The sequence below is a fragment of the Homo sapiens genome, chromosome 16, assembly GCF_000001405.40.
Source record: "Homo sapiens chromosome 16, GRCh38.p14 Primary Assembly".
Taxonomy (NCBI): domain Eukaryota; kingdom Metazoa; phylum Chordata; class Mammalia; order Primates; family Hominidae; genus Homo; species Homo sapiens.
This window is the reverse complement of record NC_000016.10, coordinates 87,796,353-87,812,731: the sequence shown is the minus strand read 5'-3', so window position 1 is coordinate 87,812,731 and position 16,379 is coordinate 87,796,353. Positions and strand designations below refer to the sequence as shown.

Genomic DNA, 16,379 nt, shown 5'->3' with positions numbered 1-16,379 from the left:
CATGGGTTTGGGTTAGACACCTGTAAGACCCTTTGCAACCTGGGATTCCAGGTCGCCAGGAGAAAGAGAGATAGGGTAGGGTAATAGTCAAGGTCTCAGGTTCCAGAAACCTCTCTGGCCATGACTTCCACACTGAGATGGCTCAGGTCCAGATGTCACAAGGGACACATGTTCCTGTCTTGGCAGTAGCCAGGCAACCGCCCCCAGGTAACAGATCCCACAACAAAAGTGTAACCAGAATGCTTGGCAAACAGCAGCTCTGTTCAGTGTCTCAGGCCCCAGCAGCCTGGGCTGGGGGTGGCTTCCTGCGGCAAGTGCTTCCTCCCGGGCCCATCCGTTCATTTTCCCCATGTTTTCCCAACTCACTCATCACCTGGTCTCTGCTGCCTCTTGCTTCAAAGGCTGCAATCACACAGCGGCAGCTTATCAATCACTCTCTCGGCCCGGAGCGGAGCAGCCCAGCCGGGCCTGTGTGGAGGGTTCAGAGAATAGCTCCGTAGGAGGGTGTCTGGCATTTGCTCACTCCCCAGGTGAGGCTGGAGACATGTAGCGGTGCTGTGAGTGCGATGGTTTGAATTCAAGCTATCGCAAAATGTTTCAACGTTCCCTATGAGAAGATGTAAAGACAATGTAACGTTTGATGTGACTGAACATTCATTATCACTGTGCACTTATAAATAACTCTCTAGGGCCGGGTGCGGTGGCTCACACCTGTAATCCCAGCACTTTAGGAGGCTGAGGCGGGCAGATCATGAGGTCAGGAGATCGAGACCATCCTGGCTAACACGGTGAAACCCCGTCTCTACTAAAAACACAAAAAATTAGCCGGGTGTGGTGGCAGGTGCCTGTAGTCCCAGCTACTTGGGAGGCTGAGGCAGCAGAATCGTTTGAACCTAGGAGGCAGAGGTTGCAGTGAGCCAAGACTGCACCACTGCACTCCAGCCTGGCAACAGAGCAAGACTCAGTCTCAAAAAAAATAACAATAATAGCCATTCTGACTGGTGTGAGATGGTATCTCATTGTGGTTTTGATTTGCATTTCTCTAACAGTGATATTGAGTTTTTTTTCTTATGTTTGTTGGCTGCATGTATGTCTTCTTTGGGAAAGTGTCTGTTCATGTACTTTCCCCACTTTTAAATGGGGTTGTTTTCTTCTTCTATATTTGTTTAAGTTCCTTATAGATGCTGCATTTTAGACCTTTGTCAGATGCATAATTTGCACATATTTTCTCCTATTCTGTAGGTTGTGTGTTTACTCTGTTGATAGTTTCTTTTGCTGTGCAAAACCCTCCTACAGAGCTCTTCTCTGAGTCCTGCACACATGCCCGCCTGGGCTGCTCCGCTCCGGGCTGAGAATCCATAGGGTAAGAGTCGGATTGACAAGCTGCCGCTGTGTGATTGGAGCCTTCGAAGCAAGAGGCAGCAGAGACCAGGTGATGAGTGAGTTGGGAAAACATGGGGAAAATGAATAGATGGGCCCGGGAGGAAGTACTTGCAGCAGGATCTAAGTTTAATTAGATCCCACTTGTCAATTTTTGCTTTGTTGCAATTGCTTTTGGCGTCGTCTTCATGAAATCTCTGCCCGTTCCTGGGTCCAGGATGGTATTGCCTAGGTTGTCTTCCAGGGTTTTGATAGTTTTGGGTTTTACGTTAGGGTCTCAATCCCTCTTTTTTTTTTTTTTTTTTTTTTGAGTTGGAGTCTCACTCTGTTGCCCAGGCTGGAGTGCATGGTGTGATCTCTGCTCACTGCAACCTCCGCCTCTCGGGCTTAAGCAATTCTCCTGCCTCAGTCTTCTGAGTAGCTGAGACTACAGGCGTGTGCTACCATGCCTGGCTAATTTTTGCATTTTTAGTAGAGATGGGGGCTTCACCATGTTGGCCAGGCTGGTCTCGAACTCCTGACTTCAGGTGATCTGCCCACCTCGGCCTCCCAAAGCGTTGGGATTACAAGCGTGAGCCACTGCACCTGGCCTTCCCTGGCTTGTTTTCTAATCGGCGCCCAGCACTGGAGCCGCCCGAGCTCATGACAGGTTTTAGGTGAAAGGACCTGACTTCTTCCTGCAGCAGAAGAGGCTCTGCTGCCACCCAAGGTCCACCTGGGGCTGCAGTGGGGTGCAGGGGCCCCCCCGATCACACCCATCCCTCTATGCTGCTCCGTCCCAGCCCCAGGTGCTCATTACCTCAGCAGAATCACTTCCCCATTTGGCAGTTTTGCATCAAAGTACTCAGAGAATTGGGGAATTTGGAGCTTTACTGTGGTTGGGCAAAGCCGAGGGTGCTGGCTGAGAGGAGAAGGTGGGTCTCCAGGGCCTGGGGACAGTCCTGCAGGCAACCACGCTGCGGCCAGAGTCACCAGCACCTGTGGGCTGCTTCAAAGACCCCACGTGGGAGGAGACCATTTTCTCTCTTCTGGCTCTTCTGAGGGAGGGGTGTGTGGGGCAGAGCTGCCCCCTCCCACTCACAGCTGTTGGGCTCCCTCTGCCCATCTCTGTGCCGCGGCCTGAGCCCTACAGCCTGCTTCAGGGGCTCTCTTGTCCAGGGAATTGCAGTGGGGCCATTGGAGAAAGAACAGAGCGCTGGCCGGGCGCAGTGGCTCACGCCTGTAATCCCAGCACACTGGGAGGCCAAGGCAGGTGGATCGTGAGGTCAGGAGTTCGCGATCAGCCTGGCCAACATAGTGAAACCCCGTCTCTACTAAAAATACAAAAATTAGCTGGGTGTAGTGGTGCGTGCCTGCAGTCCCAGTTACTTGGGAAGCTGAGGCAGGAGAATCACTTGAACCCAGGAGGCGGAGGTTGTGGTGAGCTGAGATCATGCCACTGCACTCCAACCTGGGCAATAGAGCAAGACTGTCTCAAAAGAAAAAAAAAAACGAAAGAGTGCTCAGTGTGCACGCTGCTGCCCCTGCCCATGGTTTGGGAGTGGCTGTGCTTCTCTACAGCTGTGTGGGTGAGTTGCAGCCTACAATATGCTCGAGTCCTAACCCCGGTATCTGTGAATGTGACTCTGTTTGGAAACAGGGTCTTTGCGGATGTGATTATCTAAGATGAGTCATACTTACCGAGGGGCCGTCCCTGAACCCAATGCCAGGTGTCCTTATAAGAAGGGGGAAATTTGGACACAGACACAGAGGAGAGACTGTGTGAGGGGGAAGGCAGGGATTGGAGCGATGCAGCCAGGCACCAAGGGACTCTGGGGGCCACCAGGAGCCGGAAGAGGAAGGAAGGAGCCTCCTCTAGAGCCTCTGGAGGGAGCAGGCCCTGCTGACAACTTGATTTTGGACTTTAGTTCTCCAGGATTGCAGGACCCTCAGTTTCTGTTGTTAGAGCCACCTGTTTTGTGGAAGCTAATGATAGCAGTTCCAGGACACGAATGCCACAGCTGTGAACAGGTTCTAGGAGAATTGCCACCCCAGAAGCGGAAATGATGATCCAGGTGCCTATGCACCTCCCTGCTCCCAGAAGGAACTTGTGCTCAGATCTCCTGCGGGGACCCCGCTGACAACGTTGATCCAAAATCATGCCACTGCACCCCAGCCTGGGTGACAGAGCGAGATTCTGTCTCAAAAAAAAAAGAATACCAGTGGCACAGGACATGGTAAAATGGTTGAGTTATGGGATAGCGGGTGTTAGGGAAACCTCTGGAAATCATACTGGACTTGGGCTTCAACTAGTGTTCAGCATTGGTTTATGGTCCTCTCTTTCCCTTTCTCCTTTCCTTCCACCCCTTCCTTCTTTCTTCTTTGTGTACAGTCACATACACTGAAGCAAACTACCTACGAGGCACCACTTCATGAGTTTTGCCAGACACATACACTTGTTAACCCGAATCCCTATCAAGATAAAGAACATTGTTTAAAATCTTTTAAAAAACAGATTCCTGACCAGGTGTGATGGCTCATGCCTGTAATCCCAGCAGTTTTGGAGGTCAAGGTGCACCCGGCCAATTTCACATTTAAAAAAGAAAAACACATTTTTTACTTCCTTTTAAAAAAATGAAAGATTTAGTAATCTGGGGCTCACCATCCTCAGAGCCTGGAAGTGGCGGGGGCTGAAGGCTGTTGCCCCTTGGTTGTGGCACGCCTCTGCATTTAACCATCATTCCCACCTGCCCACTTCACTCATCTCTTTCCTGGGTCTGGGCCCTGTAGCTCTTTGAGATTTCAACTCCCGGCCTGTATAAAAACCATCCTCAAGACAACAACAATCCAAAGGAGGCCAACATGTTGCAGAACCTACGCAGTTGTGCAACATGGTGGCCCAGGTCCAAGCACCTCTCCTCAACCTGGAGCTCACAGAGCAAAGGAGACTATAGGTGTGAAGGTCCCAGAGAGAACAGTGGGAGGTGAGATGGGTTATACATTCAGGACAGTCTGCCGGGTGGGATTAGGATTGCAGGCATCACCACCACCCTGTCTGCACCAGTGGCAGACATAAGCAATCGATGGCAGCACTGTCTCTCCCAGCCCGGGTTTTTCAGTCTTGGTCACTGGGATTGGGGGCTGGATAATTCTTCACTGTGGGGTTAATTGGTTGTTTCCTGTGCATTGCAGGATGCTTAGCAGCATCCTTGGCCTCCACCGACTGGAGGCCAGCAGCAACCTCCCCGTTAGTTAATTGTGACAACCCAAAAATATTTTACGCCAAGTTTGTCCGACCTGTGGCCCAGTGCAGCTTTGAATGAGGCCCAACACAAATTTATAAACTTTTTTTTTTTTTTTGAGATGGAGTCTTGCTCTGTTGCTCAGGCAGGAGTGCAGTGGCGTAATCTCAGCTCACTGGAACCTCTGCCTCCTGGGTTCAAGAAATTATCCTGCCTCAGCCTCCCAAGTATCTGGGACTACAGGCAGGCACCACCACGCCTGGCTAATTTTTGTATTTTTAGTAGAGACGGGGTTTCACCATGTTGGCCAGGCTGGTCTCGAACTCCTGACCTCAGTGATCCACCCACCTCAGCTTCCCAAAGTGCTGAGATCATAGGCATGAGCCACTGCATCCAGCCCAAATTCGTAAACTTGCTTAAAACATTATGAGATTTTTTTTGTGATTTTCTCTTAGCTCATCAGCTATTGTTAGTGCATTTGATGTGTGGCCCAAGACAATTCTTCTTCCAGGGTGGCCCAGGAAAGCCAAAAGATTGGACACCCCTGTTCTAAACATTGCTGTATCCCCTGGTTAAGAACTAAGTCCAGCTGCAAACACCAGGCTGCAGGCAGGCAGCATCATCACTGGGAGCTGGTGGTGCGAAGCCTCTCTCCCGTGTCTGCTGGGGTGTGGACCGTGTGGCTTTGCATATGTGTGCTCTGTGAGGTGCCTGGGTGATGCTCCCCCTTCCAGGCCCTGCATGGCTGGCGTTATCTCGAAACGCTGGCAGCCATCCTGGCTCCCATCGTCCCTGTGAGGATTAAAGGGCAGGGCTGACTCCTTAAAGGGCCCCACCCCAACCTCCCTGCCCTCCTCCCTCCCTGCTTCCAGGAACCGCGCCTCCAGGGGTGGCTCACAGGGGAGCCTGCCGTGTCCCAGGTGAGGGCAGGTGCGTGTCAGAGCAGCTCAGAGGAGCAACTGGACCGTATGACACCCATTATCTCCAATTGTACAGGTGCCAACCTGCCCACAAAGGGTGCAGCATGTTCTGGAGAGAAAGAGGAGCCCCCGGGGCACCTCCATTCCCATCCCACTCATGAACCCAGCCCCCAGGGCTTAGTGACTTTACATCAACGGCAGCTCTGCCCCAGCTGCACCCTCCCATGCTGGATGAAAAAGAGGCTGGTGGCTGATGTAAGAGGCAGACATGATTCAAGCAGGAAGTATGAGTTACAGCCCTGCCCGGCAGCTCCGTTTGGAAAGGCGGCTGCATCTGCACCAGGTGGCGGCAAGGCAATTAGAGCAATTAGTGGGGCCTTGTGTAGCTCTGTGGAAGGAGGACCTGAAAGAGACCCACAGAAAAGGGAAGCCCCCTCCTCCCGGAGCCCTTACAAATGCACGTGGGCACAGAAGTGGGAAAGAAAACAAGAGCCGCCCTGCAGGCACCTCCCAGGACAGGCCCCGTTGGGGCTGGGTGGGCGCCGCCGGGCTGCTGGGGAAATGATTCTGGGAGGCAGAAGACCTGACTGCAGTCTTCTGCAGGACAGCGTGGGGATGTAAGGCAGTGGGCTTTTTAAAGAGCTGTGGGCCGTGCCCCGGCTGCAAAGGGAGGGGCCTGGGGTGCCGGGAGGCCCGGCTGCAGCTTTACCTGGCTGTATGTTGGACAGGGGCTGCGGGTGTCTGCGCAGAACACGGCTCCTTTGAGAGAACTGTCGGTGCCACTTTTGTTTCCGACACATGTATGCGTATGTCTGTGGATTTCTGAACGTGAGTCATGGTAAGGGAGGTTGACAGATGTCGTCCTCAGCCACACGCCCCTTGACCACAGTGGTGTGTCTTGGTCACCTTCGTGTCCTAGGTACCCTAAAGCTGCCTCCTCCTCCGTGTGGGGAGGGAGTGGGGCTGCAGTGACTTCACTGGAAGAGCATGTTCTTGGAGGGGGCGAGGTAGGGGCAGGGGCCTCTCTGGGTGTCCTGTGCGTCTGCTCTCCACTCTGATGCCTGGCCCTCTGCGGCCTCCTTGCTCGTCCCTGGAGGCTTCGTGGTCCTGGCCCCTGGGGGGCTGCTGCTCCCACAGCTTCTATTGCCCCCACTCCCCCAGGCTGGGCTCCCACCTCACCCCACCATCCTCCGGAGCAGGGGAAACTGCGCCCTGTTCATCCAATGTAAATGAGGATTCTGACAGCCATCGAGCTCAGCTTGGCCTTCTCAGACTTCCACTGGGAGAACTCAGGGTCCAATTAAACTCCAGAACCAGGTGAGCTGCACCTTCTCAGGTATCAAAACACAGGGCCCGCCAGGCACGGTGGCTCACACCTGTAATCCCGTAAGTTTGGGAGGCCGAGGCAGGTGGATCACCTGAGGTCAGGAGTTCGAGACCAGCCTGGCCAACATGGTGAAACCGCTTCTCTATTAAAAATACAAAAAATTGGCCTGGCATGGTGGCTCATGCCTGTAATCCCAGCACTTTGGGAGGCCGAGGCGGGCGGATCACCTGAGGTCAGGAGTTCGAGACCAGCCTCAACATGGAGAAATCCTGTCTCTACTAAAAATACAAAATTAGCCAGGCCTGGTGGTGCATGCCTGTTGTCCCAGCTACTCGGGAGGCTGAGGCAGGAGAATTGCTTGAACCTGGGAGGTGGAGGTTGTGGTGAGCTGAGATCGTGCCACTTCACTCCAGCCTTGGCAACAAGAGTGAAACTCTGTCTCAAAAAAAAAAAAAAAAAAAAATTAGCCCGGTATGGTGGTGCATGCCTGTAATCCTAGCTACTTGGGAGGCTGAGGTAGGAGAATCGCTTGAACCCGAGAGGCGGATGTTGTAGCGAGCCAAGGTCGCGCCACTGTACTCCAGCCTGGGTGACAGAGCAAGACTCTATCTCAAAAAAAAAAAAAAAAAAAAAGGCCAGGGGTCCATGCACCAAGGTCAGGGCGGGGAGAGCCCCTGCCTGGGGAGTGTGTGTGGATCTCACAACTCTCAGTTCCTTCCCAGCTGGGTGAGCCACAGGCAGATGGGCAGGTGGCAGGGCTATGATGACCACTATGACATGGGAGGAAGCGGGCCACAGAGAGGCCTGGTGCCTCGCCCTCAGCAACATGGCTGGGCGGCGTTGGAGGCCCCATGGCCACGAGGCCCCAGAGACCAGCGAGAAAGGTCAGCCTCTGGGGAAGGAAGGATGACGGCCCATCCGCCCTCTCTCTCCACATGCTGCCCCTGCCCATCAGACCCCAAGATATGGGATAAAGTGTCTGTCCAGGTGCTATGTGTTTGACTAAGCAGGTGCCTTCCTGGAAAGGTGGAGTCGAGGGGTCATCCCGGGAAGCCTCAGGACAGCAGTCAAAGCCATGTTGTTTTCTTTTCGACCCTCCTCAGGCAGGGTCGTGGTGGGAACGTGGTGGGGAGGAGGGTGGGATACAGAGAGTATTCGCCAGTGTGGGAAGGGCCTAGGAAACCGAGGCTTCGAGAGAGCAGGACCAGGGACCCCGAGCTCAGGGAGGACAGGGAGGGCCCAGAAGGTCCCGAGATCCCTGCAACAGGGAGGGGCTGCTGGCCTTCCTGGAGAAGCATGCCCCACAGCAGAGCTCCAGTGGGGAGCTGGGGAAGAAAATCCAGCCACAAACCCAGTTGGAAGCCACAGTGGGCAAGAGAGGCCCCCGTGGGCAAGAGAGGCCCCTGAAGGCAAGAGAGGCCCCCGGGCCCAGAACAGGGTGGACACAGCAGAGAGAGAATCTGGAGGCTGGGAGGCAAATCCCTTCAGGTTGGGCGGGGCAGGGCTGGATAATGACACCAGGCAGTTCTGGACAGGCAGGGATACCAGGGAGTGGGGTAGGTGCATCCGGGGCAGAAGAGCCAAAGATGGGGGTCAGGCAGCACTCAGTTCCAGATCAGCACACTTGTTAATGTTCCTGGCATTGAACTTCAAAAGAGCTTGGTCGGGCGAACAAGGCTGGGACAAGCAGTGACTGCAGCCCTGTGCCCGGGAAGTAGAGTCAGGTCCTGACCCGTGTGTTGCCAAGCCCAGCCAGCGCCCTTCTCCATGGTCTCCTGGCACCCCACCTCCCTTCGCCTGAGCATTCTGCCAGGTCCCTGCTGCACTGAGTTCCCCAGCATGAGCAAGGGGCCCCTCTGTGGACTGGGCGGATGAAAGTCAGTAAGGATACTGTGAAGGACGGTGATGGAGCTCTCATCAGACTCTTCCTGCCTCCTGTCTGCAATGAGAGCTCTAGGAAGGGCCACCACATACAGTTGCACAGTTTGTTCACTGTACAAAAGCACCTGGCGCCAGCCTGCGACTCATGGGCACCCTGTGCATTCTGGCTGGGCCTCCTCCAGCTCAAAGATGGGGCCTCTGCTTCCCTGCACAGAGGTGGTGTCCACTAGCCTCCTGTGGACTGTGTCAGCCCAGAGGGAGTGCTGTTTAACAATGCGTCCCCCCTAGAGTGGGAGCCTGTTTTGGTCCTCACCAAGCCACTTCTTGGGCTATCTATTGCTGCAGAACAAATCAGCTCAACACGTAATGGCTTAGGACAATAGTGTAGCAGCTCATGAGTCTGGGACAGGCTGGGCTCAGCCAGGTGGTTCTTGTGCAGGGTCTCCCATGCACTTGCAGTCAGGTGGTGGCTGAGTCTAGAGTCCTCTCAAGGCTTCTTTGTCCACGTGTCTGGCCCCTCACTGGGAGGGCTGGAACCCCTGGGGCTAGTTAGGCAACTGTCTCTCTACGCGGGCTCCATGGGGCTTGCCTGGAGCTCCCCATCACCTGGCAGTCTGAGGGTAGTGGGGTTTCTCACGTGGAAGCTCCTTGCTCCAGAGTGACTGTTCTGAGAGAAGGGAAGAAGGGATGTAGGAGCTGCCAGCCTCCTGGGGCCTGGCCTGGAATTGGCACAGTGTCACTGCCACTGGATTCTACTCTTCCAGAATCGTATGACACAAGGAGGGTGAATGAAGTGTGTGGTCATCTCTGCCCCATCCCGTGCTATGTGGACTGGGTGGTGTGATCTGATGCAGGGCCCTGTACCAGGAACTGGAGGGTCCCAGAATGAATGAACCCCCACCAGTGCGTTCTGGGAGCTGCCAGCCTCATCAGGCAGACGAACACCCAGAGAGTGACAGCACAGACCACTGTGAAGGGTGTGCTGTGGAGGGATGGGGTCGGTGCCCCTCGGCCACTTTCTTCCTTCTCTCCCTCGCTCCTGGTGCTGCATGGGCTATGAGGAGACACATTTTGAAAGAAGAAAAAGGAAACAGCCTCTGCGGGTATCATAGTGCATAACGGTCAGGCTGCAAGAGGCAGCAGATGCCCACAGAGAAACAGGTGTTTGTGTGTGTGTGTGTGTGTGTGTTTTGAGACAGTCTCGCTCTGTCACCCAGGCTGGAGTGCAGTGGGACTTGGTCCATCTCAGCACCCAGTGTCTGTGACCAGCTGGCAGCGAGAGCTGCTTTCTTTCTTTTCTATTTTTTTTTTTTTTTTTTGAGATGGAGTTTTGCTGTTGTTGCCAGGCGGGAGTGCAATGGCACGATCTCGGCTCACTGCAACCTCTACCTCCTGGGTTGAAGCGATTCTCCTGCCTCAGCCTCCCAAGTAGTTGAGATTATAGGCAAGCACCACCACACCCAGCTAATTTTGTATTTTTAGTGGAGACGGGGTTTCACCATGTTGGCCAGGCTGTTCTCAAACTCCTGACCTCACTCAAGTGATCTGCCCGCCTCGGCCTCCCAAAATGCTGGGATTACAGGCATGAGCCACTGTGCCTGCACAGCAAGGGCTGCTCTCTGTGACTGACGGAGCGTGTGTCTGTCCAGGTGCTGTGGAATTGACTAAGCAGGTGTCTTCCTGGAAAGATGGAGTTAAGGGGTCATCCTGGGAGGCCTCATGGCAGAAGTGCCGTGGCAGGAGCTTGGGGACCCATGGATTTCAGTGTGTGCAGATGGCAGATGGATGGAGGGGACCAGGTCATTGTGTGAGGCAGGAAGCAGCGGAACCGGGGTGGAAGCTCCTGGAAAGGTCCTGGAGCCCGGGAGAGGAACTGCGCTGTAACTGGCGGCCGCCCCCTAAACAGCGCCAGGTCTGCTCTGTTTCATGGGACTTTCTCAAGTTGAGAGGAAACAGCCAGGAAACAGCTGTAGCCACAGCCTCTTAGGTGGTCATTGGTCTCTGAGGGACCTGCAGGGCACCCAGGTGGGGGTGGAGGAACTGGCTCCCTGGTGAGGGGTGGCTCTCGTCCGCTGAAGGTCTCAGGCCCTTTCCAGTTCAGACCGTGTGAGAGAGCAGTTCAGCCTGGGGGTGGCCCGCACCCTGCAGGCTCCTCCTGTGGAGGCCTCTGGGCAGGCGCATCAGCCCAGTGACGGGAGCTGCCTCCTCCTTGAAGGTCCACCCGCCCTCTCCAGGATTCTGTTCCAGGCTGACTTGGAGCAGAAGCTTGGAGCTTGACGCTGGGGTCTTCTGGGCCAGACACCTCTCTGTGACATCGTATCTCCATCAGAGGCCTGTGCTCTGACTCCAGTGGTCAGAGAACCCACGGGTTTGAGCTGGAAAAGGGGCCCAGGAGATCTGCTTAGTCAACATCCTCACTGAGACGTGAAGAGATGGAAGCCCAGGGAAGGGAGATGTGTGTTCCCAGACGTCCATCCAGTTAAAGCCGTGGTGGGAACTCTAGCCAAGGCTCTTCTTGTCTTCACTGCAGGCCTGTTATAAACACAAAATGTATTAGACCAACTGTGACCAGCTTCTCTCCCCTCCTCTTCCAGTTCTGCTCCTCAGGGAGCAAATCAACTCCTCCCTCTTACTCCTCGGAAGACCAGGGAGGAGATGGGAAGTCGGGTTCTCCACCAGGGATGCTGTGAAATTAGAGACCCCTCCATTCTCAAATTTATAGTGCACAGGGATAATTTTCTTTTCTCTTTTCTTTTCTTTTCTTTTCTTTTTGAGATGGAGTCTCGCTCTGTCACCAAGGCTGGAGTGCAATGGTGCAGCCCCGGCTTGCTGCAACTTCTGCCTCCCAGGTTCAAGCAATTCTCCTGCCTCAGCCTCCCAAGTAGCTGAGACTACAGGCGCCTGCCACCATGCCCAGCTAATTTTTGTATTTTTAGTAGAGATGGGGGTTTCACCATGTTGGCCAGGCTGGTCTCAAACTCCTGACCTCGTGATCTGCCTGCCTTGGCCTCCCAAAGTGGTGGGATTACAGCCGTAAGCCACTGCACCTAGCCTGTTTGATTTTGTTTTGTGAGAGTGTTCTGGGGCCTGCTGGAACAGTCCCACACACTGGGGGCTGAAAACAGTAGGAATTGATTCTCTCACCGTTCTGGAAGCAGAACTCTGAAATCAAGGTACCAGTAGGGCCACGTTCCCTCCTAGGGCTCTTGGGGACCATCCTTTCTGCTATGGTTTGGATGTGCTTTGTTCCTGCCAAAAGTCATGTTGAAATTTGAGTCCCAGTTTGCCAGTGTTGGAGGTGGGGCCTAGTGGCAGGTGTTTGGGTCATGGGGCAGATCCTTCCTGAATCGACAAATGCTGTGTCGGGAAAGTGAGTTCTTGCTGTCATGGGGCTGGGTTACTGCAAGACCAGGTGGTTTTTTTTCGCACTTTTGGTCTCTGCACCCCCTCGCTCTCCTTCTGCCTTCTGCCAGGACTTGAAGCAGCACAAGACCCTCATAGATGGGCTGCCCAATCTTGGACTTCTGGCCACCAGAGTTATGGCCAAATAAACCTCTGTTCTTTATAAATCACCCAGCCTCCGAATCACGAGGTCAGGAGATCGAGACCATCCTGGCTAACATGGGGAAACCCTGTCTCTGCAAAAAATACAAAAAAATTAGCCGGGCGTGGTGGCAGGCACCTGCAGTCCCAGCTACTTGGGAGGCTGAGGCAGGAGAATGGCGTGAACCCAGGAGGTGGAGCTTGCAGTGAGCCGAGATCGCGCCACTGCACTCCAGCCTCGGCGATAGAGCGAGACTTCGTCTCAAAAAAAAAAAAAAAAAAAAATCACCCAGCCCCCAGTGTTCTGCTATGGCAACACAAAATGAACTCAGACACTTCTGTATTAGTAGGATTCTCCAAACAGACAGAGCCAAAAGGATGTACATTTATATGTAGAAAGAGGTGTGCCTTAAGGACTTGGCCACACAATTACAGTGGCTGGCAAGTCTCAAGATCTGCAGGGTGAGACGGCAAGCAGGAGACCCAGGAGAGCCAATGGTGCATGCTCCAGTCTGAGTCTGAAGGCCTGAGACCCAGGAGAGCTAGTGGTGTAGTTCTAGTCTGAAGGCCCACAGGCTTGAGACCCAGGACAGCTGATGGTGAATGCTCCAGTCTGAGTCTGAAGGCCTGAGACCCAGGAGAGCTGGTAGTGTAGTTCTAGTCTGAAGGCCCACAGGCTTGAGACCCAGGAAGACCCCATGTGTCAGTTCTGGTCTGAAGGCAAGAACAGACCCATGTCCCAGTTCAAAGGCCATCAGGTATGAAGAATTCTCTCTTTCTCAGGAGAGGAACAGCCTTTTTGTTCTATTCAGGTTTTTAACTTATTGGATGAGACCCACCCACATTGGAGAGGACAATCTGCTCTTCTAAGTGTACAAACTCACATGTTAGTCTTATCCAGAAACATCTTCATAGGCACACCTGGAATAATGTTTGACCAAATATCTCAGTACCCACAACCCAGCCAATCTGATACATAAAACCAACCATCACACCCTCCTTGCCCCTTCTAGCTCCTGGTGGCTCCAGGCATTCCTTGACTTGAAGCTCTGTCACTGCAATCTCTGCCTCATCTTCTCATGGTCTTCTTCTCTGTCTCTCTGTGTTTCAAACCCCCCTCTCTTTTATTTTATAAGGATACCACCCATTGGATTTAGCCTCTACCTTCAATCAAGAATGATCTCATCCTGAGATCCTTAATTGCATCTGCAAAGAAGATATTTCCAAATAAGTTCACATCCACAGGTGCCAGGGATTAGGACTTGAACATACTCGTTGGTGGGGGAGGGTGTCACTATTCAACCACTACAGAGAAGCAAACAATATGTCCTTGGGATTCCTCTATTTCTAATTCCCAAATAGGCTTTTCTATGCCCTCTGGGGTCTCATTCCCAAGTCTTGCTCCTCCATCAATACAATTTTATCTCATTTATCTTTTTTTTTGAGATGGAGTCTTGCTCTGTTGCCCAGGCTGGAGTGCAGTGGTGCAATCGCGGCTCACTGCAACCTCCACCTCCCAGGGTCAAGTGATTCTCCTGCCTCAGCCTCCCCAGTAGTTGGGATTACAGGTGCATACCACCACGCCTGGCTATATATATATATATATATATATATATATATATATATATATACATATATATATTTTATATATATTTATATATATTTTATATATTATATATATTATATATATTTATATATTATATATATTTATATATAATATATATATTTATATATTATGTATATTTATATATTATATATATTTATATATTATGTATATTTATATATTATATATATTTTTATATATTATATATATTTATATATAATATATAAATATATATATTTATATATATATTATATATATTTATATATTTTATATATATTTATATATTATATATATTTATATATATTTTATATATATATTTTATATATATATATATTTTTTTTAGTAGAGATGGGGTTTCACCATGTTGGACAGGCTGGTCTCGTAATCCTGACCTCAAGTGATCCGCCCCCCCTTGGCCTCTCAAAGTGCTGGGATTACAGGCGTGAGCCACCATGCCCGGCCTCCTGGAGTGCTGGGATTACAGGCGTGAGCCACCGTGCCCAGCCTTTCACTTATCTTTATTGTATAGAATCTCTAGCACTGAAATGTGTCACTAACGCTACTCCTCAAGTCCTTCTATGTTTTCCACTTCTTTGGTGGCCTAGAAAACACTACAGCTAATACCATCTTGGATGGAGGTTTTCTTTCTTTTTTAAAAAGTATTGATTGATTGATTGATTGATTGATTGAGGCAGGGTCTTGCTTTGTCATCCAGGCTGGAGTGCAGTGGTGTGATCATGGCTCACTTCAGGCTTGAACTCCCCGGCTCAGGTGATCCTCCCACCTCAGCCTCTCAAGTAGTTGGGATCACAAGTGTGCACCAACACACCCGGCTAAGTTTTGTATTTTTTTTTGTAGAGATGAGGTTTCACCATGTTGCTCAGGCTGGTCTCAAACTCCTGGGCTCGAACGATCTACCCACCTCGGCCTCCCAAAGTGCTGGGATTACAGGCATGAGCCAGTGCACCCAGCCTATAGAGGTTTTCTTATTGGATGTGGTACCCTCCCTAGGAGGCATTTTGGAAGTTTGTGGGAGGTGTTTGCAGCCTTCTTAGGATGTGGAGTAAGAGAAAGGAGGCTAAATGTTCTGTGATGTGAAAAAAGGTCCTAAACAATGAAGGATTGTCCTGTATGAGTTTTCAAAGGTGAAAAACCTATTTATAACTATCTGATCCTAAAACCTAACATTGTTATTATTTTTTGCCAATCAACACAAAGTGGGTCTGTCCAGTTTTTTTTTTTTGTTTTTTTTTTTTGAGGCAGAGTCTCCCTGTGTCGCCCAGGCTGGAGTGCAGTGGCATGATCTTGGCTCACTGCAACCTCCGCCTCCCTGGTTCAAGTGATTCTCCTGCCTCAGCCTCCTGAGTCACTGGGATTCCAGGCACCTGCCACCACGCCCAGCTAATTTTTGTATTTTTAGTAAAGACGGGGTTTCACCACGTTGGCCAGACTGGTCTTGAACTCCTGACCTCAAGTGATCCACCCGTCTTGGCCTCCCAAAGTGCTGGGATTACAGGCATGAGCCACCACGCTCAGCCACTTTGGCCAGTTTTGATAAGTTCTGAAATCTGTAGAGATGAAACTACCATGCAGATGAAGGTGCTGGGTTCTAACTGGAACCAGGAGAGGCTCACAATTTTAGTAAATCCCCTCCTGGCATTTGAGCCACAGTGCTCCTGATGCTGCTGACATTTGTCCCTGCTGCGTTGACAGCAAATTTACATGTGAGTACAGCATTCGTGTTTTATGTCTTCTAGCATAGCGGTGCCTGAGAATTTACATCTTGAAATTCATATTGCTTTATTGCCAATTGTTTTTATTTTCATACTTCCTTTCTGCTTCAGTTTATCTCTCATGCTTGTATGATCCAATATGTATCGTGTAGATTTTTTTAAATTCCGTGTATTGGCAAGTTATAGTTTCTGTGGATTTCATTTCAGGGTAGAAAGGAGGCATTCAAAATATCTGTTATAAAAAGAGCAATAATATGGTGAAACCCCATGTCTACTAAAAATACAAAAATTAGCCTGGCGTGGGTGGCGGGTGCCTGCAAACCCAGCTACTTAGGAGGCTGAGGCAGGAGAATCGCTTGAACCTGCGAGGTGGAGGTTGCAGTGAGCAGAGATTGTGCCATTGCACTCCAGCCTGGGTGAGAAGAGTGAAACTCCATCTCAGCCGGGCGCGGTGGCTCACACCTGTAATCCCAGCACTTTGGGAGGCTGAGGCAGGTGGATCACGAGGTCAGGAGATCGGGACCATCCTGGCTAACACGATGATACCCCGTCTGTACTAAAAATACGAAAAATTAGCCAGGCAGGGTGGCGGGCACCTGTAGTCACAGCTACTCGGGAGGCTGAGGCAGGAGAACGGTGTGAACCCGGGAGGCGGAGCTTGCAGTGAGCGAAGATCGTGCTACTGTACTCCAGCCTGGGTGATAGAGCGAGACTCCGTCTCAAAAAAAAAAAAAAAAAAAAAAAGAGTGAAACTCCGTCTCAAAAAAATAA

At 51.6% G+C, this 16,379-nt stretch overlaps 11 annotated features.

Moving 5' to 3' along the window:
• Nucleotides 2,357–2,536: an enhancer, noted in NCBI's record as "active region_11340". NCBI's record gives its function as "activates an Ori minimal core promoter by ATAC-STARR-seq in GM12878 lymphoblastoid cells {active_cell/tissue: GM12878}" and the evidence as "EXISTENCE:reporter gene assay evidence [ECO:0000049][PMID:35858748]".
• Nucleotides 3,207–3,266: an enhancer, noted in NCBI's record as "active region_11339". NCBI's record gives its function as "activates an Ori minimal core promoter by ATAC-STARR-seq in GM12878 lymphoblastoid cells {active_cell/tissue: GM12878}" and the evidence as "EXISTENCE:reporter gene assay evidence [ECO:0000049][PMID:35858748]".
• Nucleotides 4,926–5,867: an enhancer, noted in NCBI's record as "H3K27ac-H3K4me1 hESC enhancer chr16:87840471-87841412 (GRCh37/hg19 assembly coordinates)". NCBI's record gives its function as "activates a minimal SCP1, AML or CMV promoter by ChIP-STARR-seq in primed H9 embryonic stem cells {active_cell/tissue: H9 hESC(primed)}" and the evidence as "EXISTENCE:reporter gene assay evidence [ECO:0000049][PMID:30033119]".
• Nucleotides 4,926–5,872: a biological region, named in NCBI's record as "H3K27ac-H3K4me1 hESC enhancer GRCh37_chr16:87840471-87841412".
• Nucleotides 5,083–5,222: an enhancer, noted in NCBI's record as "active region_11338". NCBI's record gives its function as "activates an Ori minimal core promoter by ATAC-STARR-seq in GM12878 lymphoblastoid cells {active_cell/tissue: GM12878}" and the evidence as "EXISTENCE:reporter gene assay evidence [ECO:0000049][PMID:35858748]".
• Nucleotides 5,273–5,392: an enhancer, noted in NCBI's record as "active region_11337". NCBI's record gives its function as "activates an Ori minimal core promoter by ATAC-STARR-seq in GM12878 lymphoblastoid cells {active_cell/tissue: GM12878}" and the evidence as "EXISTENCE:reporter gene assay evidence [ECO:0000049][PMID:35858748]".
• Nucleotides 5,473–5,872: an enhancer, noted in NCBI's record as "active region_11336". NCBI's record gives its function as "activates an Ori minimal core promoter by ATAC-STARR-seq in GM12878 lymphoblastoid cells {active_cell/tissue: GM12878}" and the evidence as "EXISTENCE:reporter gene assay evidence [ECO:0000049][PMID:35858748]".
• Nucleotides 5,868–6,811: an enhancer, noted in NCBI's record as "H3K27ac-H3K4me1 hESC enhancer chr16:87839527-87840470 (GRCh37/hg19 assembly coordinates)". NCBI's record gives its function as "activates a minimal SCP1, AML or CMV promoter by ChIP-STARR-seq in primed H9 embryonic stem cells {active_cell/tissue: H9 hESC(primed)}" and the evidence as "EXISTENCE:reporter gene assay evidence [ECO:0000049][PMID:30033119]".
• Nucleotides 5,868–7,074: a biological region, named in NCBI's record as "H3K27ac-H3K4me1 hESC enhancer GRCh37_chr16:87839527-87840470".
• Nucleotides 6,736–7,074: a silencer, noted in NCBI's record as "fragment chr16:87839264-87839602 (GRCh37/hg19 assembly coordinates)". NCBI's record gives its function as "represses an EF-1alpha promoter that drives an FKBP-Casp9 reporter gene in an ReSE screen in phorbol 12-myristate 13-acetate-treated (for megakaryocytic differentiation) K562 erythroleukemia cells {active_cell/tissue: K562(+PMA)}" and the evidence as "EXISTENCE:reporter gene assay evidence [ECO:0000049][PMID:32094911]".
• Nucleotides 8,124–8,624: an enhancer, noted in NCBI's record as "H3K4me1 hESC enhancer chr16:87837714-87838214 (GRCh37/hg19 assembly coordinates)". NCBI's record gives its function as "activates a minimal SCP1, AML or CMV promoter by ChIP-STARR-seq in naive H9 embryonic stem cells {active_cell/tissue: H9 hESC(naive)}" and the evidence as "EXISTENCE:reporter gene assay evidence [ECO:0000049][PMID:30033119]".